The sequence below is a fragment of the Homo sapiens genome, chromosome 12 (genome assembly GCF_000001405.40).
Source record: "Homo sapiens chromosome 12, GRCh38.p14 Primary Assembly".
Taxonomy (NCBI): Eukaryota; Metazoa; Chordata; class Mammalia; order Primates; family Hominidae; genus Homo; species Homo sapiens.
In genome coordinates, this window is record NC_000012.12 from 12,593,057 (window position 1) to 12,619,848 (window position 26,792).

Below are 26,792 nucleotides of genomic sequence, written 5' to 3' on the forward strand. Positions count from 1 at the left end.
TTTCTAGCTTTTCATTTCTAAATTCCCTGCCTATGACTCACAGATGTTTCAAGGGGCCTTCAGAATGCCTGTGGACTTTAGTAGGTGAGAGCCATGGGCAGAGGAAAGATGTAGTAGATGACAAATCACGTGAGGGTTAGAATTTGGCCACGGTGACTGCAGTTGCTAAGATTCTAAATGTTTCCTTAGTGCTTTTTGGTAAATCTCTCTTCTCCCAAGATCGAAAAGTTGCATCTAGAACTAGATATATAGATGGAAGTTACCTAATATGGAGGAAAAAATAGTGAACAAAGGCTAATTTGGGAATCCTAAACTCAATTGGGATTGTGGAATGAAAAGCATGATGAATATGAGTTTTCTTTATCCACATCTAAAGCAAGCATCATTTTCCCAATTTTGAGTAGGTACTGCCTGCTTTTATGCATTTTAGAGGGTTCAGTGTGGTGGCCGAGTAAGCACTGGGACACTGTCAAGTAGTTTCAGTCAAAAGTTCATTTTGGGGAAGCATAAAAAGGACTCGTAATATGTATGAAAAAATAAGTAAAATAAATATGAATAATTATGAATAAAAATTTCACCACTAGCAATGTTATTCACGCTGCAATCATGGAAATAAAAACAACAATAAAAAATACTGAGCATTAAGAATCACTAAATTATCTTACCAGCCATCATGACTCTGTACAAACAGAGCATACAATTAAATTTTTCACTGGAACTTGAGTATTGATCATCTGGGAATATAAACATGAGAGAAAGATAATAAAAGGAAACTAGTGGCTGCAGCGGCTCACGCCTGTAATCCCAGCACTTTGGGAAGCAGAGCTGGGAGGATCACTTGATCCCAGCCTGGGCAACATAGAGAGACCCTGTGTCTCTTTAAAAAAAAAAAAAAAAGGAAATTAGTTTCATTGTATTTTAAAATTTGTTCTAAAGCTACATTAATTGAAACAGTTGGAGGCCGGGCACAGTGGTTCACGCCTGTAATCCCAGCACTTTGGGAGGCCAAGGCGGGCGGATCATGAGGTCGGGAGATCGAGACCATCCTGGCCAACATGGTGAAACCCCGTCTCTACTAAAACTACAAAAAATTAGCCGGGCGTGGTGGCGGGCACCTGTAGTCCCAGCTACTCGGGAGGCTGAGGCAGGACAATGGCGTGAACCCGGGAGGCGGAGCTTGCAGTGAGCTGAGACCGCACCACTGCACTCCAGCCTGGGCGACAGAGCGAGACTCTGTCAAAAAAAAAAAAAAAAAAAAGAAACAGTTGGTATAGTGCAGAAATAGACAGATCAATGGAAAAAGCTCAAAAGTGGACCCACATGCAAACAAAATTAGTTTACAATAAAAGGAGCATTCCAAATCAGTAGGAAAAATATTCAATAAATGTTGTTGGTATAAGTGATTAGTCTTTTAGAAAAAATGAAAATGCATCCATATTTTTCTCTGCACATCAAAAATAAATCCCAGAACTAAGACTTAAATATAAAAATGAAAAAACCAAAGTACTAGAATAAAATAATGAATTTTTAAATAATCTTGCATGGAGAAGGCTTTTTCTTAGTATGAAAACTTGGCAATATTTGTCTATAAAATCCAGAAGTTGTCATAAAGAAAAGATTAATAAATATGACTACTTAAAAATGAAAACTTCTGAATAAAAAAATACAATCAACAAAGTCAAAGACAATTGACAATCTGGGAGAAAAGTGGGCAACACGTATTATCTATATATGTTCTCATTCCTTTAGTATAGATGAAGCCTTTAGAAATCTGTAAGGTAGGCTGGGTGCAGTGGGTCATGCCTGGGGTAATTCCAGCACTGAGGGAGGCCAAGGCAGGCGAATCAACTTGAGGTCTGGGGTTCAAGACCAGCCTGGCCAACATGGTGAAACCTGGTCTCTATTAAAAATACAAAAAGTAGTCAGGCGTGGTGATGGCACACACCTGTAATCCCAGCTACCCTGGTGGCCAAGGCATGAGAATCACTTGAGCCTGGGAGGCAGAGGTTGCAATGAGCCAAGATCATGCCACTGCACTCCTGCCTGGGCCACAGAGCTAGACTCTGTCTGAAAAAAAAAAGAAAGAAATCTGTAAGGTAAAGCCAACCACCTATAAAAGAATGAGCAAAGGAGGCCGGACACGGTGGCTCATGCCTGTAATCCCAGCACTTTGGGAGGCTGAGGCGGGTGGATCACCTGAGTCAAGAGTTCAAGACCAGTCTGGCCAACATGGAGAAACACCGTTAGAGACTAAAAACACAAAATTAGCTGGGCGTGGTGGTGCATGCCTGTAATCCCAGCTACTTGGGAGGCTGAGGGAGGAGAATCACCTGAACCTGGGAGGCGGAGGTCGCGGTGAGGTGAGATCGTGCCATTGCACTCCAGCCTGGGCAACAAAAGCTGGAAACTCCATTTCAGAAAAAAAGAATGAGCAGAGGACATGAACTGGTACTTCTCAGAAAAAGAAATATGAATGCACCCAATGCACACATAAAAAGAATACTCAACTTCGCTGCTAATTCAAATAATGCAAATTAAAATAGCAGTAAGATGGCAATTTTTAACCAGTCAAATTGGCAAAGCTTTAAAAGTTTAATAACAAAACATGTTGGCTGGCAAGCAGGGAAACACATTACCAATGGAAGTATACGTATTTATAATGCTTTTGGAGAAAATTTGGCAATATTTCTTTTAAGGAAATTTCCTTTTAATTCTCAGCAAGGCAAGTTACTTCTATACAGAAGCGTGTGCCCTTACAGATGGAACAATGAGGACTGCACATCTGGACAAGGGAGGGGAAGGGGTTCTTATCCCAGAAGCACTTGGCCCCTGCTGCTGTGTCGTTCCCCTATTGGCTAGGGTTAGACTGCACAGGCTAAACTAATTCCGATTGGCTAATTTAAAGAGAATGATGGGGTGAGTGCTTTGGCGGGAGTCAGGGCAGAGCAGGTAGCAGGTAATTGGAATGAGTTAGGGTGGAGCAGGTGATCAGAATGAGTTAGGGTGGAGCAGGTGATCAGAATGAGTGGAGAGAATGAGTTAGGGTGGAGCAGGTGATCAGAATGAGTGGAGAGAATGAGTTAGGGTGGAGCAGGTGATCAGACTGAGTGAAGAGAATGAGTTAGGGTGGAGCAGGTGATCAGAATGAGTTAGGGTGGAGCAGGTGATCAGAATGAGTTAGGGTGGAGTAGGTGATCAGAATGAGTTAGGGTGGAGCAGGTGATCAGAATGAGTTAGGGTGGAGTAGGTGATCAGAATGAGTTAGGATGGAGCAGGTGATCAGAATGAGTTAGGGTGGAGCAGGTGATCAGAATGAGTTAGGGTGGAGCAGGTGATCAGAATGAGTTAGGGTGGAGTAGGTAATCGAAAAAGGTTGCTTTACGAGGAAGTTTAGTTTAAAAGTAGAAGGCAAAGAATTGAACATACTGCCTTTTTGTCTCTGTCTCTTCCTCTCTCTCTCTGCCTCTCTTTCTCTCTCTCTTTGACTCCTTCTTTTTCTGTCTCTTCCTTTCCCTCACTGCCTCTCTGCCTCTCCTCTCTCTCCTCTAGGGTAGGGACTTGCACGAGTGGAGCTACTCTCTCTTCCCCTGAGAAGGAAGGAAAGGGGGTGGGGTTGTGTCAGGTTCAATCCTTGAAATTAGTGGAAGGCCCAACCCCTCAACACTAGGGATGTCTCGCCTTGAAATTTGGCAATATTTCTAAAAAATTCAAGTGCAACATATACACCACGGAATACTATGCAGCCATAAAAAAGGATGAGTTCATGTCCTTTGTAGGGACATGAATGAAGCTGGAAACCATCATTCTGAACAAACTATCTCAAGGACAGAAAGCCAAACACTGAATGTTTTCACTCATAGGTGGGAACTGAACAATGAAAACACTTGGACACAGGATGGGGAACATCACACACTGGGGCCTGTCATGGGGTAGGGGGAGGGGAGAGGGATAGTGTTAGGAGATATACCTAATGTAAATGACGAGTTAATGGGTGCAGCACACCAACATGGCACATGTATACATATGTAACAAACCTGCACGTTGTGCACACGTCCCCTAGAACTTAAAGTATAATAAAAAAAATTCAAGTGCAAATACTTTTAATCTAGAGGTTCCTCTTCTAGGAATCTGTTCTACATATAAATTCACACAAGAACAGAAATATGTATAATAAAGGTTGTATATTTCTGCATTAACCAGTAAAAATAAAAAGTAAAACAAAGTAAATTATGAAAGGAAGGAAAGAAAAGCAACAATGAAGGATGAAAATAGTGCTCTATACTGTGATATGGAATAATGTCCAACATATAGTTAATTGAAAAAATGTAGAACAGTGTGCATGATATAATACCATTTGTATAAAAATGAAACGGAGATACCTATACTCCTTGTAGTGCATAGAAACTTTTTAGAAGGATATACAGTGGTTAACTCTGGAGCGTGCATCAGAGAGATGGGGAAAATGTTTTTATTTTTTATCTTATGGCCTTTTTTTATTGTTTGGATGTTTTACCGTGGCCATGTATTACTTTTGAAATAAGCTACATTTTTAATTTTTGCAAATGAAAAAGATAATTCCATCTGGTTCAGGAAAAGTGTCTGTAGAGAACATGGAAGGTGTTTTTTTCATTTTGCCACCTTTCTTTTTTTGAGAGGGTCTTACTCTGTCACCCAGGCTGGAGTGCAGTGGTGCTGTTATAGCTCACTGCAGCCTTGAACCCCTGGTCTCAAGTGATTCTCCCACCTCAGCCTCCTGAGTAGCTAGGACTACAGGCATACTCTACCACAGATGGCTAATTTTTAAGTTATTTTTTAAGAGACAGGGTTGCTATGTTACCCAGACTGGTCTCGAAATCCTAGGCTCAAGCAACCCTCCTGTGTTGGCCTCCCAAAGTGTAGGGATTACAGGCTTGAACCACTGTGGCCAGCCCACCTTTCTTTACTTCTCTTTTTTTTTTTTTTTTATTGAGACAGAGTCTCACTCTGTTACCCAGGCTGGAGTGCAGTGGCACAATCTCGGCTCACTGCAATCTCCACTTCCCAGGTTCAAGCCCTTCTCCTAGCTCAGCCTCCCAAGTAGCTGGGATTACAGGCATGCACCACCACACCCGGCTAATTATTTTTTATTATTTTTTATTTTTAGTAGAGACGGGGTTTCACTATGTTGGCCAGGTTGTTCTCGAACTCCTGACCTCAAGTGATCCGCACCCCCTCAGCCTCCCAAAGTGATGGGATTACAGGCACGAGCCACCATGCCCAACAGCCCATGTTTCTCAAATAATATTTATTCAACTCTATTGAGTAAGTGATAGGAGTCTAAATTCAATCTCACTGTTTATCATTCTATTTGCCCATCCATCAGTTCTTGGTAATATGTGTTAATAGGCATGGCCTGGGAAAACGAAGTGCACTGAGAATTTTTAGTCTAACTGCTGTGTGTCCATTACAGGTATCACTCATCTTGCAAAATGGATATTGTTCAGCAAAATTAAAAGGCTTCTCTAGAGTAAAATCCATGTCTTACTAACATTTCAGAAGTTAATGTTCTTTCCCAGATACAATAGATTGGATTAAAATTTTGATTGAAGAAGGGATTAAGATAATTTCTGGAACATATATTGGGCATTGCCATGTAGCTGCACTACGTATTTATGGGGACATCCCAAGGGTTCCTTTGTCACTTGTTGCATGTATGTGACAGAAAGAATCTGGAAGGCAATGAAGTCAGGACACTTGGCCTGTGATCCTCCAGTCCCACCTCCATCTGACCAAGGGTGAGACACTTTTAAAGAGTTTTTGTTCGGTCATCAGATATCGGGAAGTGTTACTATATGGCAGGCCCTTACACTCAGTTATATTCAGTTCTGTATGCCATACCACCATATAGTATATATTATGAGTATGGTATAATCTAGTGTAATAAAATGTTAATAAATAAATAAAATAGTAAAATAAGAGGTATAGAGAGCTGCCAACTGCGTGTGAACAAGCCAAGTTCTCTCAGATTTGTCACTCTCCTGCTTAAACCTTCAGTAGCTCCCCAGTACCTTCAAATTAAGTCCACATCCTAAGCTTGGCATTCAAGGTGCTTCGTCATCTATCACCTGTCCACTTCTTTGGCCTCAGCTCTTGACACTGCTCTCATCTCTTGAGATGCCTGTGTTACACTCAAATCTAATTATTTGCAGTTCCCCCCCATTATTTCACAGAACTATGACTTTGCAAATGTTTCTTTACCTGCCTGCTTGGAAAAACATGTACTCAGTGTTTGAGACCTGGCTCAGAAATCAGCCTTTCTGTAAAGGCTTGCCCTGGTTCCTCTCTATATTTTCTGAATAACTTTATTATCACACTTAACAAACTATATTGAAGTTATTCATTTACATTCTTAAGGAAGTTTGGAAATGAAATGTAAAATAAATCCCCATTAGTGTATAAGCTCCTTGAGGGCAGAGGCCCTATCTAGTTAATCTTTGTATTTCTAGTATATAGCACACTGCCTGCTCAACACACTTTGTAAATGAATGCATAGATAAAAGAATGAATTTGTTATACTATAGCTGAAGGATTTCTTTGTAGTTTGACATTTCTTAATATAGTGACAAATGCAGTAAAACCTGCATCTCTCCTGGATTCCATGTTATCTCTACCTCTGCCCTACAGGCACTACTCATAGCATTACAGTGAAGTTCCTGTAACAATTCATTTATTTTAAAACATACTAAATCAGCAAGCATATATCATTTATATCTTGACAGTGTACTTTAAAGCAGATGCTTCAGTTTTTCTTCCTTCACATAGCTAGCATCTCTCCAGACAAGCTTAGATAGCAACCTGTTTTCTTTGGCAAATTGATTAATGGGGACATTACTCATATGCCTGGTTGCATGACATTTCCAATAACATTGTCATTTTGTTTATGGAGTGGTGGGTAAAAATATCCAGGAATTTACTACCAGTGGAGGAACCACCTGTTTGCTGGAAACATTAAAGAGGAAAAACTGGAGAGGCAGCTCTCTTGGAGAATGCTGAAAAAGGTCTAATTCCAGCACGAGCCTGCCCCACAACAAACCACCTCCCAGGGGCACCTGTGGAAACAGGAGAACAGCCTTGCCGTGCATCTTAGCACTTTGGCTGGGGACTGAACTGCCTTGCGGGGACCTGGCAAAACTGCAGAGGTAGCTTTTCTCATGCCTGAAGGGTAGCAAAGGGGGTTGGGGAGAGCTGCCCAGCACTGTGTCAGTGGCAAGGAGTGGATTTAGGAGTAGGAAAAAGGGAGAAAACCATGAATGAGTGGAGGGTTCGGAAGTGGCAGGGCGTGGTGGAGGCACACTGGGGAGTAGGCAGGGACCCAACTGTATGACAGAAAATTGGGCAGGTGTAATCAGCCTACACCTTCCACCTCATCTCAAAGACCTCACAGCATAGGGGGAGGAGTGGGCGACCATGAAGAGAAGTTATGATCTCGTCCTCTGGAAGCCATGGGCAGGAAGGTTACAAGCACGTATTTGGGCCTCACCTGCAGCAGCAAGAACAGAGCAGGTGAACAGGCACGTTCCATGCTGAGTGGGAAAGGGAAACACACTGAAGGCTTGAAGTTTTCCGAGACAAAGCAAAGCCAACTGCGGAAACCTTTAAGAATTAGGGAAAGGATGCTCCCCCCTCCCAAGAACTTTCTGTCTTAAAACACAAAACAACAGAAATAACAGAACACAACACAAGAACCACGTGCTAAAAGGAGAAGGGGGAAGCTGTGGCGGAGGAGCTAAGTCCAGGATGATGACCCGGGTGCTGAACACCACGGGAAAAGATCAAGGTTTCTTGTGCAATCCTTCCCTGCATTTGCGTCAGCCAGCACAAGGCCATCTTGAATTGGCAGCGGTCAATTCAAGAAGCTTATGTGAAAGGCAGCATTACTTAAGACAAAATGACTTTCTATCCTACTTCTGGAGAAATATCTAGAAGCCAGGGCTTCAATGTAAAGCAAATCTATAAAATTCACAATGATATGTATGTTCTCCTGGCAAAATGTGGAAGGAGGGTGTTGCTACTTTCGTGTTTTGAATCTCATTATTGCGAGGGCAGCAGGAGTGTCAGGAGAGCCCGTAGCTCTAAACTCTCAGGACTTTAAAATTCCTATGCTATGTTATAAAATAATCCCTGTAACAGAATAGTTATATAAACTCCCAGTTCTAATAATACTATTTTATTGGGGAAACAAGGTGTTTGTCTAAAGAGCTAATTTTTGAAAATTAAAGGAACAAAGAGCTTAGTCATTTGTGTGAAAAATATGTATATGCCTTCACCAAGTTCCTGTAGATCACTGTGGTTATGTGTCCAAAAGGTTCCAGCAGAAGGCCCCAGAAAATGTTGGGCAGCACCAAGTCCAGAATAGGAATGAAAACAGAATATTTATTTTACTCAGATTAAAAACAAGCCCCAAACAGGACGGGCATGGTGGCTCACGCCTGTAATCTCAGCACTTTGGGAGGCTGAGGTAGGTGGATCACCTGAGGTCAGGAGTTCGAGACCAGCCTGGCCAACATAGTGAAGCCCCATCTCCAAACATACAAAAATTAGCCGGGCAAGGTGGCATGTGCCTGTAATCCCAGCTACTTGGAAGGCTGAGGCAGGAGAATTGTTTGAGCCTGGGAGGTGGAGGTTGCAGTGAGCTGAGATCGCGCCACTGCACTCCAGCCTGGGTGACAGAGCGACACTCCATCTCCAAAACAACAACAACAAAAAACAAGCAAACAAACAAGCAAAACTATCATTCACACACAAACGGAAGAGCTTGCGGAGGCAGCTTTGGTGACTGTCTCTGGAAAGGGGTGATGATATCAGGAACTGTTCAGAAAAGGCCAGTGGAAAACTTTATGAGGGCTAGGTGTGAGGAAGCATCTTTTCGGAACAGTGCCTTTCACCTCGACTAGGTAAAAGCTGAGAAATAGCATCATGTGAGTCTATAAAAACCATAAACAGTAGGCATAGAATCAGCATGGGTTTGCTTATGAAATAAGGATGAAAGAGTACTCTGAAACTTTTTTGAAATAAGCTTAGAATACATTTTTAAAGGACTATTTCATGGAGCAAGCAAAAAAAGTATCTTTCTTTTCTTTTTTTAAATAATTTTATTTTCTTTCTATTTTTAAAAATCTTATAGCCTTCAGTTTCATCTCCAAAAAAAATTTTTTTTTTTTTTGAGACAGGGTCTCACTCTGTCACCCAGGCTGTAGTGCAGTGGCATAATCTCGACTCACTAAAACCTCTGCCTTTCAGGCTCAAGCGATCATCCCACCTCAGCCTCCGGAGTAGCTGGGACTATAGGTACGTGCCACCAGGCCTGGTTAATTTTTTCTATTAAAAAAAAATCTTGGCCAGGCGTGGTGGCTCACACCTGTAATCCCAGCACTTTGGGAAGCTGAGGCTGGTGGATCATGAGGTCAGGAGTTTGAGACCAGCCTGGCCAAGATGGTGAAACCCCATCTCTACTAAAAATACGAAAAAAAAATTAGCCAAGCATAGTGGCGGGCGCCTGTAATCCCAGCTACTCGGGAGGCTGAGGCAGGAGAATCTCTTGAACCTGGGAGGCGGAGGTTGCAGTGAGTGGACATCACACCACTTGCACTCCAGCCTAGGTGACAGAGTGTGAGACTCTGCCTCAAAAAAAAAAAAAAAAAAAAGTCTTTACCGGCAGCCTGAGGTGAGAGGATCACTTGAAGGCCAGGAAGTGGAGACCAGCCTGGGCAACATGGTGAGATTCCATTACCCAACCCCCACCTCCTCTACAATTTTTTTTTTTTTTTAATGCTGGGCATATTAGCCCATCTACTTGGGAGACTGAGGCAGAAGGATCACTGAGGAACACTGAAGCCCAAGAGTTTGAGGTTACAGTAAACTATGATTGTGCCACTGCACTCCAGCCTGGACACATATATGCATAACAGAGCCAAAAGTGGCTACTAAGCAAAATTTATCAAACTTTTAGGGATGGCTGAGCGCAGTGGCTCATGCCTGTAATCCCAGCACTTTGGGAGGCCAAGGCGGGTGGATAACCTGAGGTTGGGAGTTCAAGACCAGCCTGACCAACATGGAGAAACCCCGTCTCTACTAAAAATACAAAATTAGCCAGGCATGGTGACTCATGCCTGTAATCCTAGCTACTCGGGAGGCTCAGGCAGAACAATTGCTTGAACCTGGGAGGTAGAGGTTGTGTTGAGCCGAGATGCACCATTGCACTCCAGCCTGGGCAACAAAAGCGAAACTCCATCTCAAAAAAAAAATGTATATATATATATATAAAACATTAGCTAGAACAACTATGCCCTCTAACAAAGAACTGTTGTTGGTGACAGAAATAGCATGTTAGGTTAGATTCTAAGTGACAACACCTTCATTCCTACAAGAGATAATATTCACATGAACATTTTTGGAAACCATTAACTGGTATTATCACTAAAAATTTTATAATTTATCACAAAATATTAGGTGCTATGTTGTTCATGTAACATTGAATTAACCAAAGAATGACATTAACTACCTTCAGATTTAAACAAATGTTTTGGAGAACAATTCTTTGTACAAGCAGAAAGATTTAAAGATAAAGCCTACGATGGAAATCTTTCTATACAGATGAAGGAAGCCTTTTAAAATTAAAGGAGGCTGGGCGCGGTGGCTCACGCCTGTAACCCAACATTTTGGGAGGCCAAGGGGGGCAGATCACCTGAGGTTAAGAGTTCAAGACCAGTCTGTCCAACATGGCAAAACCCTGTTTCTACTAAAAATACAGAAATTAGCTGGGCATGGTGGTGGGCGCCTGTATACTTGATCTTAGCCAAAGGCCGAGAAGCAATAAGGGCGCCTGTAATCTCTGCTACTCGGGAGGCTGAGGCAGGAGAATCGTTTGAACCCGGGAGGTGGGGGTTGCAGTGAGCCGAGATCACACCACTGTACTCCAGCCTGGGCAACAGAGTGAGACTCTGTCTCAAAAAAAAAAAAAAAAAAAAAAAAAAAAGTCAAAGGAATTGAAAATATGCTTTTATGCTTTAAAATATGTAGATTATATAAGTCAAAAAATAAATATGTGTGACTACTATATGATCCCAAACAGAAAAATCAGAATATCCATAGTATTATAAAATAAGCCAAAAGAAAGAGATATTTACATCTAGCAATAGACAGTATATAACTTAGAGTCAAGAAATGTTGGGCCAGGCGCGGTGGCTCACGCCTGTAATCCCAGCACTTTGGGAGGCTGAGGTGGGTGGATCACCTGAGGTCAGGAGTTCAAGACCAACCTGGCTGGCCAACATGGCGAAACCCTGTCTCTACTAAAAATACAAAAATTAGCCAGGTGTGGTGGCACACACCGGTAATCCCAGCTACTCAGGAGGCTGAGGCAGGAGAATCGCTTGAACCAGGGAGGCAGAGGTTGCAGTGAGCTGAGACCGTGCCACTGTACTCTAGCCTGGGGGACAGAGCAAGACTCTCTATCAAAAAAAAAAAAGAAAAAGAAAGAAGAAAAGAAATGTTGTTAGCACTTAAATCCCCATAAATATTTATGGCTTTTCGAAAATATCTTTATGGTCATAAGTAGGTTTGATAGCATTTCAATAGTAAATTTCCTTGTATTTTTTTCTTAGAAATGGGGAAGATTGAAGCAAAAAATGGAACAGTTAAGGCTATTTATGAAGTAAGAAATGGTTCCCCTGCTACTCTTGTGAAGTTTCCAGGTACCAAAAGCAAACTTCCTCCTAACGACTCAGGGTTCCAATCTTTTCTCCCTTAAAAATACAAGATCCAGAAGAGGAGCCCTGTCAGATTTCCATTCAACAAAACCGCTGGGCTTACCAACCTTACACTGGAAACAACAAGCTCAAAAGTGGACTCTGAAACTTGCTTTTTAAAAAAAGCGTTTCAAGCGATAAGTGTAACGTGCTACAGCAAGTTTAGACATCTGCAGGTCTGATGCAGTCATCTCCTGAGGGTTTACCCAACAGACACACACAGGGCCAGGCACCTTTTCTTCTTTAGCAGCAGAAGAAAAATGTGCTCTTTATTGCCAAAAATAAACACTTTTTAAAAGACGACTTCTGTTCCTCAATAAATATCCCTTCCTTTCTATAGTGGATCTCTGGTTTTCTCCAGGCTGCCTAATTAACTGCTTTGGGTGTGTTCCTAACTGGAGACAGTGCTGAGGGGTCAGGGCCACAGCCTTCATTAAGGAGAAATGAAATACTCCTCCTGTGTACGTAGGAGGTGCCCTTGGTCCCGCCGGCCGCTGCCACCACCACCAAACTAAATGATCAGGCTCTTGGTGGTGAAGGGGTTCATAAATGCTGGGTAGAGAAAGGAATATTAGGTTTATTGGCAGGGAGGGGACAGCCAGGGTCTAATGCTATTCTCAGAAGGTTACTCTCAAATTAGGGACACCTGGGAATTTGAAGTGTTAGTGGCCCTGGGGAAAGGACTGGAAGGATTTATAAGCCCCTTGAATGAACGCCGTGGCACTCAATCTTAACACCAGAAATCTAAGGTACAACTGAAAATTACTCCTTTTGGACAGAAAGGAACAGAAGGGAGAATTGGTTTTATTTTTTCGGGTTGTTTGTTTTTTGTTTTTTTTTGAGACGGAGTCTCGCTCTGTCGCCCAGGCTGGAGTGCAGTGGCGCAATCTCGGCTCACTGCCAGATCTGCCTCCTGGGTTCATGCCATTCTCCTGCCTCAGCCTCCCAAGTAGCTGGGACTACAGGCGGCCGTCACCACGCCCAGCTAATTTTTTGTATTTTTAGTAGAGACGGGGTTTCACCGTGTTAGCCAGGATGGTCTCCATCTCCTGACCTCGTGATCCGCCCGTCTCAGCCTCCCAAAGTGCTGGGATTACAGGGGTGAGCCACCGTGGCTGGCCGAGAATTGTTAAAGAAGGTACTGGACTATACTTTCTCAGCTCTCTCCTACCTCCCCGACCCTAACCCCCATGGGTATCCAGTTTCTACTTGCTGCTCTTCAAATGCTGAAAGCCCAACCACAGCAATCAGATCTACTCAGATCTTCCCCCTCTTATAACATCCATCCTCCAAAACCATATATTCCTCTTTTCTCCCCCATGTAAACCCTGTGTTAAATTAATATTTAGGGAGCAGGTAAGAGAAAAAGAAGCATATCCATACTAAAGTGTAAATGACTAATAGGGATGCTTGGAAAGCCCTCTCTTACAAAGGGTTGCTCAGTTTTAAACAGTTGCTTATTGGCCAAATAAATACATTTTCTATTATTTCCTCAAATAAGGGCGCATTTTATTCTTTCTCACTGGGCGAGGGACGTATATGGCTTAGAAACAGCAACAGTAGGCCAGGCACGGTGGCCTGTAATTCCAGCACTTTGGGAGGCCAAGGCAGGTGGATCACCTGAGGTCGGGAGTTTGAGACCAGGTTGGCCAACATGGTGAAAGCCCGTCTCTACTAAAAGTACAAAAATTAGCTGGGTGTGGTGACACATTGTAATCCCAGCTACTCGGGAGGCTGAGGCAGGAGAATCGCTTGAACCTGGGAGGCAGAGGTTGCAGTGAGTCGAGATCACACCACTGCACTCCAGCCTGGGCGACAGAGTGAAGACTCCATCTCAAAAAAAAAAAAAAAGAAAGAAAGAAACAACAACAGTATTTTAAGCAGAAAAGAGTAAATAGTACAGTATCAAGAACTACTGGTGTTGCATTTGAAGGGAAGCTTTTAGTATGTTGGTGAAGGGGAAGAGGTGAGGGAAAGTTTGAGCTTGGAAGGTTTTAGTTCCTTGAGCTTCATTTTCTCTTCCTTATTTTTATGCTGATTGGGTCTCTTTTTCCTTGTCAACAGACTGCTTCAGTACTTCTTGGCTTTATTTATTTATTTTGCTCCTGCTAACAAGCTGGAGGCTGAGTTATGTGCTCAGTCTGAAAATGTTCCTTTTGACTGTTGTCTCTGAACTTTCTAACCAATACAGAGAGTAAATAGGTACTGTGCTGTATGCAAATGTAGGCATATTTGTCCGTGTAGGCCAAAGGAGGGGAGGCATGTTGCAAAATGCCTTTAGAACAAAAACAAACGTTTCCAATAGAGTATTTTATAGCCTTTTGAAAATAAGCTAAACTTTTAGAAAACGAAAAGTACAGAGGAAGACTTATCTATAAAATAAATTGGAAAAAACCACACACAAAACAAAACATGACTAATACTTCGACAGTGAGTTCACCTCAAGCATTTCATGAATTTCACATGACCCACCCACTTTTTCTCTGTACCTCTGAGGATTACCATATTAGCAGCAATAATTACTCTTTTGTTCAAGTGCCAGATTTACATATCAACGTAGCCATGGCATTCCTGAATGTAGAATATTGTACTGTTCGCCTCGTTTGTGGTTTCTATAATAAGGTTAATTTTTGTTCCCTTACCCTCCTCACTTAATCTCATGCCACCCCCTACCTTTCTTCAATTAGTGGTTTGTTTTTTACTTTGAATAGTTTTTCTCCTTTCCTTTCTCAGTCTCTGTGTCATGATTTGAACTATCCTCAAATTCACTGTACGAACCATGCTGCATTTAAAACTTTTTATCACCCAGCCATGGATGATCAATTCTTTGAAAAGACAAGCCAAAGACAGAGAAGTTATGAATGGGCATTTCTAGGATGACTCTAGAATACCTTCTTCCCCAAGTTTAGGATGTGTGGTAAGATGCGTCAGAAGTTACCATGGTAGATTTCATGGCCATCTTTGTCTTTTTTTTTTTTTTGAGATGGAGTCTCGCTCTGTCACCCAGGCTGGAGTGCAGTAGTGCAATCTCGGCTCACTGCAAGCTCTGCCTCCTGGGTTCACGCCATTCTCCTGCCTCAGCCTCCCGAGTAGCTGGGACTACAGGGGACTGCCACCATGCCTGGCTAATTTTTTGTATTTTTAGTAGAGATGGGGTTCACCGTGTTAGCCAGGATGGTCTCGATCTCCTGACCTCGTGATCTGCCTGCCTCAGCCTCCCAAAGTGCTGGGATTACAGGCGTGAGCCACCACACCCGGCCCATCTTTGTCTTTTCCTTGGTAGGCCTTTAAAAAAAATTATTGCTATTTCTAGATTTTATTGGAGATGGATCTAGCAAAAATTTCCAGAATTGCATCAGACATTTTTAATTTCCAATGGATGTTTGGAAAGGGTTGGACAGTTTTAAAATTTTTCAGACTCAAACATGTCAAACTGGCCAGGTGCAGTGGCTCACACCTGTAATCCCAACACTTTGGGAGGCCAAGGTGGGCCGATCACCTGAGGTCAGGAGATTGAGACCATCCTGGCCAACATGGTGAAACCCTGTCCCTACTAAAAATACAAAAATTAGCTGGGCATGCTGGCACATGCCTATAATCCCAGCTACTTGGGAGTCTGAGGTAGGAGGATTGCTTGAACCCGGGAGGCAGAGGTTGCAGTGAGCTGAGATCATGCCACTGCACTCCATCCTGGCAACAGAGCTAGACTCCACCTCAAAAAAGAAAAAAAAAAGTGTCAAACTAAATGGAAAGCCAGCTTGGGCCTAACAAGCTATTTTAATGAGCATTCTTTCTCTGTGATGTTCCCCAGGGGATATGAGCCCAAGAAGACCCATGTGGCCCAGGGAGTAACATGATCATCTTGGCTCTGTTTAGACACCTGTGCCCAGCGGTAAGGGGACCAGGAGGCAGACAGATAGATGAGGGCATGGAGGCATGCAGACCCATTAGGAGTGGGTGTGCACCATGCTACTTAGAAAGTTACTACAAGAAACTCCATAGCAGTGACAGAGGCTTGATGCAACATAGGCCAACAGTGCCTCTATGTGGGGTGTCTGAGAGTATATGAAATGTGTTTGTGACTGTTGGGGAGGGAGTGAAGAGAGGAGAAATGTATGTGTTTTTTAAAGGAATTGCATGCCTTGGAGGTTCCTTTTGAGAAGATGATATAGGAAAAAAAGATTGAGAACCGTAGATATAGAACACATCCAGGATGCTGAGAGCACATTCTTCCCCTAACCATTTAAAAAACACTTTGCTGTGTTTGCTCTTCTAATCAGTCTGATGCGCAGCTTTCCCTGCCCACCATAAGTTTTACATCCTCTTACCTTCAACTTATCACCACATAGATATTAAACTTGATCTGTATTATTTTTTACCAGATGCTTTGTTTAGTGAATGGTCTAAGTTTTCTGTATGTCACCTCCTGGATTATAAAGTCCTTGAGGATTTACACTGTAATTTTAGAAGTTAATACACCTACTAGGTGCAGTGGCTCATGCCTGTAATTCCAGCACTTTGGGAGGCCGAGGCGGGCGGATCACGAGGTCAGGAGATAGAGACCATCCTAGATAACACGGTGAAACCCAGTCTGTACTAAAAATACAAAAATTAGCTGGGCGTGGTGGTGGGCGCCTGTAGTCCCAGCTACTCGGGAGGCTGAGGCAGGAGAATGGCATGAACCTGGGAGGCAGAGGCTGTAATGAGCCGAGATTGCACCACTGCACTCCAGCCTGGGTGACAGAGCGAAACTCTGTCTCAAAAAAAAAAAAAAAAGTTGCATGGGACACACTTTCCTAAAAGAGTATTTGCGGTTTATCTGAAATTCGAATGTAATTGAGTATTCTGTGTCTATATTGCTAAATCTGAGAACTCTACCTCAGTTGGATTTTGCAAGGGTTGAGAAAGCACTTTGTGAGTCTTTGAAAAGGTGTGAGCCAAAGGGCTCTTCAGGAGCAGCATTGACAAATATGCAATCTTTGTCAAGTTCTCAAAGGCCCGAGGTAGGCCAAAACAAAAACAACAGTAAAAACAAGCTCACTGACTTTATTAAATGAGGACACAGCCAGTTATTTTTAAAATAACTTTATTGAGATATAATCCACTCATTTAAAGTGGTTTAACTACAGTTAAACTACAATTTAGTGGTTTTTAATATATTCACAGGATGTGCAACCATCACCAAAATCAATTTTAGATAATTTTCTTTTCTTCTTTTTTTTTTTTTTTTTTTTTGAGTCGGAGTTTCGCTCTTGTTGCTCAGGCTGGAGTGCAATGGCACGGTCTCAACTCACTGCAACCTCCGCCTCCTGGGTTTAAGCCATTCTCCTGCCTCAGCCTCCCACGTAGCTGGGATTACAGGTATGCTCTCCCAGGCCTGGCCAACTTTGTATTTTTAGTAGAGATGGGTTTCTCCATGTTGGTCAGGCTGGTCTCGAACTCCTGACCTCAGGTGATCAGCCCACCTCGGCCTCCCAAAGTGCTGGGATTACAGGCGTGAGCCACCATGCCCGGCTGAATTTTAGATCATTTTCATCACCTCAAAAAGAAACCCAGTACTCATTAACCGTCACTCTCCTTTCCAGGATCCCTCCATCCCTGCCATTCTTCAACCCTAGCCCTTGGCAACCACTAATGGATTTTTTGGTCTATTTAGATGTGCCTGTTCCAGACACTTCATTATAAATGGAATCATACAATATGTGGCCTATTGTGTCTGGCTTTTTTCACTTCACATAAAGTTTTCAAGGTTCAGACATATTGAAGTGTGTATATCCCTTCATTTTTTTTCATTGCTGAATAATATTTCTTTCCTTTTTTTTTGAGACAGAGTCTTGCTCTGTTGCCCAGGCTGGAGTGCCGTGATCACAGCTCACTTCAGCCTCCAACTCCAGGGCTCAAACGATCCTCCCACCTGGGCCTCCCGAGTGGCTAGGACTACAAGCACCACCACCACACCCAAGTAATTTTTAAATTTTTTGTAACACACCCAACTAATTTTTAATTTTTTTTGTAGAGACTGCATCTTACTATATGGGTCTTCTTCCTTCTTCTTTCTTCTTCCTTCTTCTCCTTCTTCTTCCTTCATCGTTCTTCTTCCTTCTTTCATTCTTCTTCTTCTTTTTTTTTTTTTTAAATACAGTGTCTGGCTCTGTCGCCCAGGCTGGAGTGCAGTGGTACAATCTTGGCTTATTGCAGCCTCTGCCTCCCAGGCCCAAGTGATCCTCTCATGTCAGCCTCCCCAGTAACTGGGATTACAGGCATGTGCCACCACACTCGACTAATTTTTGTATTTTTTTGTAGAGACAGGTTTTGCTATGTTGCCCAGGCTGGTCTCGAACTCTTGGGCTAAAGCAATCCTCCCGCCTCGGCCTCCCAACGTGCTGGGATTACAGGCGTGACCCACCACCCCTGGCCAGTATTTCTTAATTTGTATAGTCCACACTGGTTTATCCATTCATCCAGTAAAGGACATTTGCGTTGTTTCCACTTTTTGACTATTATGAATAATGCTGCTAGGAAAGAACATTTATATACAAGTTTTTGTGTAGTCACTCGTTTTAATTTCTCTTGGGTATGGGAGTGGCCAATATTCTGAAGAACTGCCAAATTTCTTCCCAAAGTAGCTGCACTATTTTACATACTTAGTTTTTGTTTTTCGTTTTTTTTTAAATAAAGAACCTTTAGGGTTTCCTCAGCGTCCCAGAGGAGGGCCTGCTTCCGGCACCCCGCCTTCAGGGCTGCCTCCGCAGAGCACCAAACTCCCGTCCCCGCCATTCCAGGCCCTGGCACTTAGGAGCCAAAACCTCAGGTCAGGCGCACTTTGGGCCTCCAGCCCAGCCCCGCCTCCTCAGCGCTAGCTAGTAGGCAAAAGGAAAACAGCTGCCCCTTAATGAGGCTATGTGGACATCGTAGTTTTTTTTCCAGTCAGTAGCGCAGAGACTGTGATAAGAAAAATCACAATTCCCAGAATGCCGCGGTGCTACGGCAGCCGAAGGGGCCATTCCGTGTGCAGCGCTCCCGCCCACCCTCCGGTCTCGGCGGCTCTCCAGAGCGTCTGTAAACACCCAGAGACTGTCATGGAGGGGGAGGAGGAGGCGGCGGCGGCGAAGGGAGGCGTTTGGGGCCGCCTCCAGGGTCCGCTCTGCCATTCCTGAACTGGTCCCTCGTCCCCGTGACTCTGGCATCAGGGAAGCGAACTGTTAGGCGAGAGGAGGAGGCAGCCAGAACCATATCCCCTTCTTCCTCGGGGCGGGGGCCGGGCCAGGCCGGCTGAGCCGGGGGAGGGCTCCGGGAGGGAGTGCCTGGCCAGGCCGGCCTGTCTGCCGCGATGGATGACAGTAAGGTAAGTCTTGTGGTTTGCACGCGCCGCCGCCTTCTTGTCGCTCAATGCTAGTCCCGCGGCTGAACCTCCGCTATGTAGTCCACGCCAACACCCAAGAGACACCTGCCTAAAACATCCCTGCGCCTCTCCAGTCCACTGCCCGATGGTACCCAGCCAGGAAATCAGGGAACACCGGGGCTGCGTTTTTCCAGGAAGGGCCCTCTCTGGAAATTTTTCACTCCCAGGGCGTTTGCTAGCTTTCCAGGTAGTGCAACCCCTAGTCCTTAACTTGCCTGTCGAGATAAGAAACTACTGTACTTTTTCTTCTTGCACTTTTTTGCTGCCTCCTCTCTCCAGTTTGGAGACTTTAGTGCACGCTGAACCAGCCTTATTCCCCTTGACGATTCCCCTTCTCTCAGGCTCCCTTACTCAATGCCCCATTCATATAATCAGTTCACTCCCCCTCTGAGCTATTTCCTGTGGTTGGTTGGAACACCGCTAAGCTCCTGTTGCTATTTGGCCAGTGTGGAGTTTAACCTCCACTAGAAAGCCTTCTCTAAAAAAATACTGATTTTCCTCTTGTTAACTTTAATAGCCCATCACCATCCAATTTCCCTGTCCAAATCACTTACTTTATGATTATAAAATAATAGATAATGTTCATTATTGGTTAATCCAAATAGTTTATCTATGTATAGCCTTTTTGTCTTTATTTATTAATTGAGACGGAGTTTCGCTCTTGTCGCCCAGGCTGGAGTGCAATGGCGCGATCTCGGCTCACCACAACCTCCGCCTCCCGGGTTCAAGCGATTCTCCTGCCTCAGCCTCCCGAGCAGCTGGGATTACAGGCATGCACCACCATGCCCGGCTAATTTTGTATTTTTGGTAGAGATGGGGTTTCTCCATGTTGGTCAGGCTGGTCTCGAACTCCCAATCTTAGGTGTCCGCTCGCCTCGGCCTCCCAAAGTGCTGGGATTACAGGCGTGAGCCACCGCGCCTGGCCGCCTTTCTCTCTTTACATCTACCCACATTAGTGTTGTTTAGTTTTATTTCCTGAAGATAGGGATGGTCAAAGATTTGTTTATTGATGTTTCAGGTTGTTTTGGATTTGGACTTTTTTATTTTAAGGAATCAGACTTCTAAAATTTGCCAGTTTTTAAAGTAAAAACCGTCCTTCTTTGTGCTTCTCAGCGTCTTCTGTTTCACAGTCTTTGGCATACTCTTTACGATAGCTTTGTCCTTTGTTTGGGTGTCTTTTTTTGCTGCTGCTGCAGTTTTTGTTTCACATATCCTCAGAGAGATTCAAAAAATTTCCAACTTCTCTGTGTTCCTTGTTTTATTCTTTCCTTCTTGTTTTCTCTTCCTCTTCATGTAGAAGGCTGTGAGGAAGTGACAGATGGAAGGGAAAGCCCAGTGCAGTACTCTGGAATTGTTACTCACCTAGAGGAACGGATTGCTTGTGAAGTAGTAAACCCCTCTTAATAGGAAGTGGTATTTCCAAGACAGAAGGGGGGCGAGTTTCAGGAAGCTATCAGCTCATAAGAGTGCTTAATATGCTCAGTACACACATTAATTCCCTTGACAAGAATCTTGCCCTTGTTTGTTTACAACAATGCAACAGAATGCGGGATAACATTGTAGACTCTTCAGTTTTACTATAGTAACATTCGTGGGGTATGATATTGGGGAAGTGGTATTTCCAAGACAGAAGGGTAGCGTTCTAAAAGTTTTCCAGAAAAATCAGCAAGTAATTTTTTTTTTTTTTTGCTTTGAATATTTCTTTGGGGAGGGGACATCACACTTCTTTCTTTTTTCTTTTTTTTCTTTTTTTTTTTTTTTTTTTTGAGACGGAGTCTCCGCTGTATCGCCCAGGCTGGAGTACAGTGGCACGATCTCGGCTCACTGCCGAGAATTGCTCTTGGGTTCAAGCAATTCTCCTGCCTCAGCCTCCTGAGTAGCTGGGACTACAGGCGTGTGCCACCACATCCAGCTAAATTTTTATTTTTCGTAGAGACAGGGTTTCACCATGTTGATCAGGCTGGTCTCAAACTCGAGTGACCTCAGGTGATCCGCCCACCTCAGCCTCCCAAAGTGCTAGGAATACAGGTGTGAGCCACTGCGCCCGGCCAGGACATCACACTTCTACTCAATGAAGATAAACGTTTTTACACCTTTTGTCTTTTTTACCCCTATTATGCCACGAATTCATAGGGAATAAGTTCTAGTAGCTCAGGCTGTTTTCCACTGGTGGAGTAGGCTGGTGCTTCAATTGAACCCAGGTACCTTTCTTATTTAGTTTCCTTTTTTTTTTTTTTTTTTGAAATAGGGTCTTGCACTGTTGCCCAGGCTGGGGTGCGTTGGTGTGATCACAACTCACTGCAGCCTCGAACTCCTGGGCTCAAAGCAATCCTCCACCTCAGCCTCCCAAGTGGCTGGGACTACAGGAATGCACATCCATTCCTAGCTAATTTTTTGCAGAGATGAGGGTCTCACTGGCTTTTTTTTCTGATCATTTTCCTTCACACGTTTCTGGAAGCTGTCAGCTCTTAAGAGTACTTAATATGCTCAATATACACATTAATTCTCTTGGCAAGAATCTTTCCCTTTTTTGTTTACAACAATGCCAACAGAATGCTGGGTAACATTGTAGACTCTTCCAGTTTTGCCATAGTAAGATTTGTAGGGCATTAGTTTTTTTTTTTTTTTTTTGAGATGGAGTCTCTCTCTGTCCCCCAGGCTGGAGTGCAGTGGCACGATCTCAGCTCACTGCAATCTCTACCTCCTGGATTTAAGCGATTCTCCAGCCCCAGTCTCCCGAGTAGGTGTGATTACAGGCATGGGCCACCATGTCCGGCTAATTTTTTTTTGAGACAGGGTCTTGCTCAGTCGCCCAGGCTTGATGCAGTGGTGCAGTCTTGGCTCACTATAAACTCCGCCTCCCGGGTTCAAGTGATTCTCCTGCGTCAGCCTCCTGAGTAGCTGGGATTACAGGTGCATGCCACCACAACCGATTAATTTTTGTATTTTTCTTAGAGATAGGGTTTATTAGAGCCTGCCATGTTGGCCAGGCTGACAGGGTTTTGCCATGTTGGCCAGGCTGGTCTCGAACTCCTGGCCTCAAGTGATCCGCCCACCTCGGCCTCCCAGAGTGCTGAGATTACAGGCATGAGCACTGCACCTGGCCAACTTTTTGCATTTTTTTTTTTTTTTAACAGAGACAGGGTTTCATCATGTTGGCCAGGCTGGTCTGGAACTCCTGACCTCAGGTGATCTGTGTAAGGTATTCCCTTTTAAACAGTCCCCATTCCATTGATGTCTAAAATATCAACCTTCTTTTTTTTTTTTTCTTTGAGACGGAGTCTTGCTCTGTCACCAGGTTGTAGTGCAATGGTGCGATCTTGGCTCACTGCAACCTCTGACTCCCTGGTTCAAGCAATTCTCCTGTCTCAGCCTCTGAGTGGGGATTACAGGTGTGTGCCACCATGCCCAGCTAATTTTTGTATTTTTAGTAGAGCTGGGGCTTCACTAGGTTGGCCAGGATGGTCTCAGTCTCCTGACCTCCTGATCCGCCCACCTCGGCCTCCCAAAGTGCTGGGATTACAGGCATGAGCCACCGCACCTGGCTACAATATCACCTTTCTTGTAGGTTTCCATGTATGTGGCCGAAGGAACAACTCCATGTGTTCTAAAAGGCCTGGAGAACATCTGTTGGTGCCTTTTCTCTTTGCCTTTGTGTTAATCATTTTGGTGAATTACTGGAAGATGGCAGTTCCAGCCAAAAGGCAGAAATAATATTTCATAAAAGTCTTTGGTAGCTTGATCTTTCAGTGTTAATTTTGAAATTAAATATTAACACTGTATCTATTATCTTGATGAGAAAATAATACTAATGTTATGGGTATTTAAGGATGGTAGAAGAACATACTGTTCTTTATTTTTCCTAACTTGAGATTCAGAATATATTCTTTCTGATTTTCAGTTTTTTCCTTTTCAGACCTTTGAAACATTTAACAACTTTCTGAAAGTCTTCAATAATTTCAAATAAGTCGAAGAAAAATACATAGGATTTTGGGCTACTTAGCTGTAAGATCATATAAAAGTTATTTCTAAAACTAGCAATCTGGTGGGGTGAAGGAAGGTTCAAAATGTCATTGTTTAGCCTGAAAGAGTGAAGTTAAAATTTGAGGGCAAGCTATCCGTGAATTACTTCCTAAAGGATACACAGGTAAGCACAGTGAATTTGATTCTCACTCTTTATTAATTCATTGTTTTTATAAGTACTTAGAAACCAGCAGCTTTGAAAACCTTAGTGAGCATCAAAAAGAAAATTCATTTAAATGTCTCTGGATGGAGAGTGCCTCTGGAATACTCTACTTGCACTTTGAATGCATGTTGTAGTTGTAGATAAGTAATATTTACATGTCATGTATAATACTGGACTCTCCTTCAACAGTCAGGCAGTGTGAAACTGTCCTTATATAAGGCTTTGGCAGCTCCCAGCCCTGCGTTTTCTGTGCCCTAGTTATAATCCCACAAAATTGTACTGTCCTCCTAGTATATACAGACATACACACAAAACACACTTTTCCCTCACATTCTGTATGAGTCACACTCTCTCGTCCCATTTTCTTCAGTGTAAGGGAAGATGAGGATTGGGGTTTGGAAGTATGGTGGCTGTGCCCTTGAGAGCATAAAGGATGATAAACTGGCTGACAGCAAGACCAGGGCAACAGGAAGAAGACAGAGTAGGCAGGAACAGCAGTTATAGAGAGGTAGTATTTGAGTGAGTAGGTCAGGAAACATGATGATGATAATGTGAGGGCCTCCCTTTATAAAGATTTTGTATTCTGAGTTGTTTTTACCAGTGGTGATAAATGAGTTTGCTGCGAGTTCTCCACACTCTGCCATCTAGCTGGCTGGAGTGAGAGCAGGACAGATTTGAATGGGGAATAGCTTTGCCTCCCAAGTTTCTAGCAGTGTGCCTAATACAGCATAAAGTACTCATTTATAGAGATTGAATTGAATTGAATCAGGGTGACATTAAGGAGATTGCCCTGATGTACTCGGGCTTTATTAATCAGTGTGCTCCAGCTGAGCAAACCAGCCAGCACATACTTACAATGGCAAATGAGAGAAATAAAGCAAGAGACAGATTTGGCATCTCTAAAGTGGGGGTTTAGGAAAGTGTTAAGTAGCAGAGCTCAAATACTGAGTAGATCTCCTACTAGGCTAGTTGGGAAGGAAAAAATCTTGGCTAATTTATTTAACTTTTTTGAGCTTCCATTTCCTTATCTGTTAAATGTGGCCAATAGGTGAGGCCTTGGTGAAGATTAGGGTTGATACATTTAAAGCTCTAGTACAGACTCTAACACATAGTAGGCTCTCAAAACACGTTATCATTATTATATTACCTAACAGTGATTCCTTGTGCTTTACTACGGTGCAGTAGGTCCCTGAGATGCTCATTTTAGTAATTCTTTTTTTTTTTTTTTTTTTTTTTTTTTTTTTTTTTTTTAGTATTTATTGATCATTCTTGGGTGTTTCTCAGAGAGGGGGATTTGGCAGGGTCACAGGACAATAGTGGAGGGAAGGTCAGCAGATAAACATGTGAACAAGGGTCTCTGGTTTTTCTAGGCAGAGGACCCTGCGGCCTTCCGCTGTGTTTGTGTCCCTGGGTACTTGAGATTAGGGAATGGTGATGACTCTTAACGAGCATGCTGCCTTCAAGCATCTGTTTAACAAAGCACATCTTGCACTGCCCTTAATCCATTTAACCCTGAGTGGACACAGCACATGTTTCAGAGAGCACGGGGTTGGGGGTAAGGTTACAGATTAACAGCATCCCAAGGCAGAAGAATTCTTCTTAGTACAGAACAAAATGGAGTCTCCTATGTCTACTTCGTTCTACACAGACACAGTAACAATCTGATCTCTTTCTTTTCCCCACATTTCCCCCTTTTCTATTCGACAAAACTGCCATCGTCATCATGGCCCATTCTCAATGAGCTGTTGGGTACACCTCCCAGACGGGGCGGCTGCCGGGCGGAGACGCTCCTCACTTCCCAGACGGGGCGGCTGCCGGGCGGAGACGCTCCTCACTTCCCAGACGGGGCGGCTGCCGGGCGGAGGGGCTCCTCACTTCTCAGACGGGGCAGCCGGGCAGAGATGCTCCTTACCTCCTAGACGGGGTGGCGGTGGGGCAGAGACACTCCTCAGATCCCAGATGGGGTCATGGTGGGGCAGAGGTGCTCCTCACATCCCAGATGGGGTGGCGGGGCAGAGGCGCTCCCCACATCTCAGACGTTGGGCGGCCGGGCAGAGACGCTCCTCACTTCCTAGACGGGATGGCGGCCGGGAAGAGGCGCTCCTCACTTCCCAGACTGGGCGGCCGGGCAGAGGGGCTCCTCACATCCCAGACGATGGGCAGCCAGGCAGAGACGCTCCTCACTTCCCAGGCGGGGTGGCGGCCGGGCAGAGGCTGCAGTCTCGGCACTTTGGGAGGCCAAGGCAGGCGGCTGGGAGGTGGAGGTTGTAGCGAGCCGAGATCGCGCCACTGCACTCCAGCCTGGGCAACATTGAGCACTGAGTGAGCGAGACTCCACCTGCAATCCCGGCACCTCGGGAGGCCCAGGCGGGCAGATCACTCGCGGTCAGGAGCTGGAGACCAGCCCGGCCAGCCCGGCCAACACAGCGAAACCCCGTCTCCACCAAAAAATACAAAAACCAGTCAGGCGTGGCGGCGCACACCTGCAATCCCAGGCACTCGGCAGGTTGAGGCAGGAGAATCAGGCAGGGAGGTTGCAGTGAGCCGAGATGGCGGCAGTACAGTCCAGCCTCAGCTGGGCATCAGAGGGAGACCGTGGAAAGTGGGAGACGGGAGAGGGAGAGGGAGAGGAGGGAGAGGGAGAGGAGGGAGAGGAGGGAGAGGGAGAGGGATCATTTTAGTAATTCTTAAGTATATGCTGTTGTATAAGATTTGTAACACCTACACTACCCTTTGCTCCAGACTATGCTCCAGATGGGACAGGGGCAGTGGGGTGGGACATAAAATGAACTTAAGCTCTGTCATTAAGTTAGATAGTGTGAGAAAGGTAGTCTCCTGAGGCCACCTCCATGTTTACCACTAGGAAAAAGTGCTTGTTTTTATGAAAATTTCTTCTTGGCCAGGTGTGGTGTCTCATGCCTGTAATCCCAGCACTTTGAGAGGCCAAGGTGGGTGGATTGAGTTCAGGAGTTCAAGATCAGCATGCGCAACATGGCGAAACCCCATCTCTTCAAAAAATATAAAAAATTATCCAGGTGTGGTGGTATGCAGCTATAATCCCAGCTACTCAGAAGGGAGGCTGAGGCACAAGAATTGCATAAGCCCAGGAGGTGGAGGTTGCTGTGAGCCGAGATCACGCCACTGCACTCCAGCCTGGGCAGTGGAGCCAGACTCTGTCTCAAAGGAAAAAGGAAAGTTTCTTCTCCCTTGACCTGCTGCATTCAATTAGAAAATAGAAATGTGTTATTTTCAGAGGCTTTGATCATAGATAGAAGGTTCTTATTTTTTATTTTATGTTGGACTTTATTGAATGAACACATGAATGAATTGAAATATCCTAAGGCGTCAAGATCCAGTTGAGGGACTGATGCAGGAGTGGGCCAACTACTGGCTGCAGCATGCCAATGTGAGCTGCCAT

General features: G+C 44.2%; 1 protein-coding gene and 1 pseudogene across 1 annotated transcript in view, besides 8 other annotated features; one reads left to right on the forward strand and one right to left on the reverse strand.

Moving 5' to 3' along the window:
* Positions 3,556–3,790: a silencer, noted in NCBI's record as "fragment chr12:12749546-12749780 (GRCh37/hg19 assembly coordinates)". NCBI's record gives its function as "represses an EF-1alpha promoter that drives an FKBP-Casp9 reporter gene in an ReSE screen in HepG2 liver carcinoma cells {active_cell/tissue: HepG2}" and the evidence as "EXISTENCE:reporter gene assay evidence [ECO:0000049][PMID:32094911]".
* Positions 7,361–8,560: an enhancer, noted in NCBI's record as "MED14-independent group 3 enhancer chr12:12753351-12754550 (GRCh37/hg19 assembly coordinates)". NCBI's record gives its function as "activates an origin of replication core promoter dependent on BRD2, BRD4, P300/CBP and CDK7 cofactors, and independent of MED14, by STARR-seq in HCT116 cells {active_cell/tissue: HCT116}" and the evidence as "EXISTENCE:reporter gene assay evidence [ECO:0000049][PMID:35650434]".
* Positions 15,275–15,493: a silencer, noted in NCBI's record as "fragment chr12:12761265-12761483 (GRCh37/hg19 assembly coordinates)". NCBI's record gives its function as "represses an EF-1alpha promoter that drives an FKBP-Casp9 reporter gene in an ReSE screen in phorbol 12-myristate 13-acetate-treated (for megakaryocytic differentiation) K562 erythroleukemia cells {active_cell/tissue: K562(+PMA)}" and the evidence as "EXISTENCE:reporter gene assay evidence [ECO:0000049][PMID:32094911]".
* Positions 18,189–18,940: an enhancer, noted in NCBI's record as "H3K27ac-H3K4me1 hESC enhancer chr12:12764179-12764930 (GRCh37/hg19 assembly coordinates)". NCBI's record gives its function as "activates a minimal SCP1, AML or CMV promoter by ChIP-STARR-seq in primed H9 embryonic stem cells {active_cell/tissue: H9 hESC(primed)}" and the evidence as "EXISTENCE:reporter gene assay evidence [ECO:0000049][PMID:30033119]".
* Positions 18,189–19,173: a biological region, named in NCBI's record as "H3K27ac-H3K4me1 hESC enhancer GRCh37_chr12:12764179-12764930".
* Positions 18,534–18,613: an enhancer, noted in NCBI's record as "active region_6015". NCBI's record gives its function as "activates an Ori minimal core promoter by ATAC-STARR-seq in GM12878 lymphoblastoid cells {active_cell/tissue: GM12878}" and the evidence as "EXISTENCE:reporter gene assay evidence [ECO:0000049][PMID:35858748]".
* Positions 18,664–18,713: an enhancer, noted in NCBI's record as "active region_6016". NCBI's record gives its function as "activates an Ori minimal core promoter by ATAC-STARR-seq in GM12878 lymphoblastoid cells {active_cell/tissue: GM12878}" and the evidence as "EXISTENCE:reporter gene assay evidence [ECO:0000049][PMID:35858748]".
* Positions 18,820–26,792, forward strand: part of CREBL2 (cAMP responsive element binding protein like 2) — a 33,233-nt gene continuing 25,260 nt past the window's right edge. Inside the window, exon 1 of the mRNA NM_001310.4 lies at positions 18,820–19,131. Coding sequence (NP_001301.1) covers positions 19,117–19,131 — 15 coding nt within the window. The 5' untranslated portion in view covers positions 18,820–19,116. The remainder of the gene's footprint in view (positions 19,132–26,792) is intronic.
* Positions 18,874–19,173: a silencer, noted in NCBI's record as "silent region_4259". NCBI's record gives its function as "represses an Ori minimal core promoter by ATAC-STARR-seq in GM12878 lymphoblastoid cells {active_cell/tissue: GM12878}" and the evidence as "EXISTENCE:reporter gene assay evidence [ECO:0000049][PMID:35858748]".
* RPL21P136 (ribosomal protein L21 pseudogene 136) lies at positions 21,598–22,893 on the reverse strand (annotated as a pseudogene).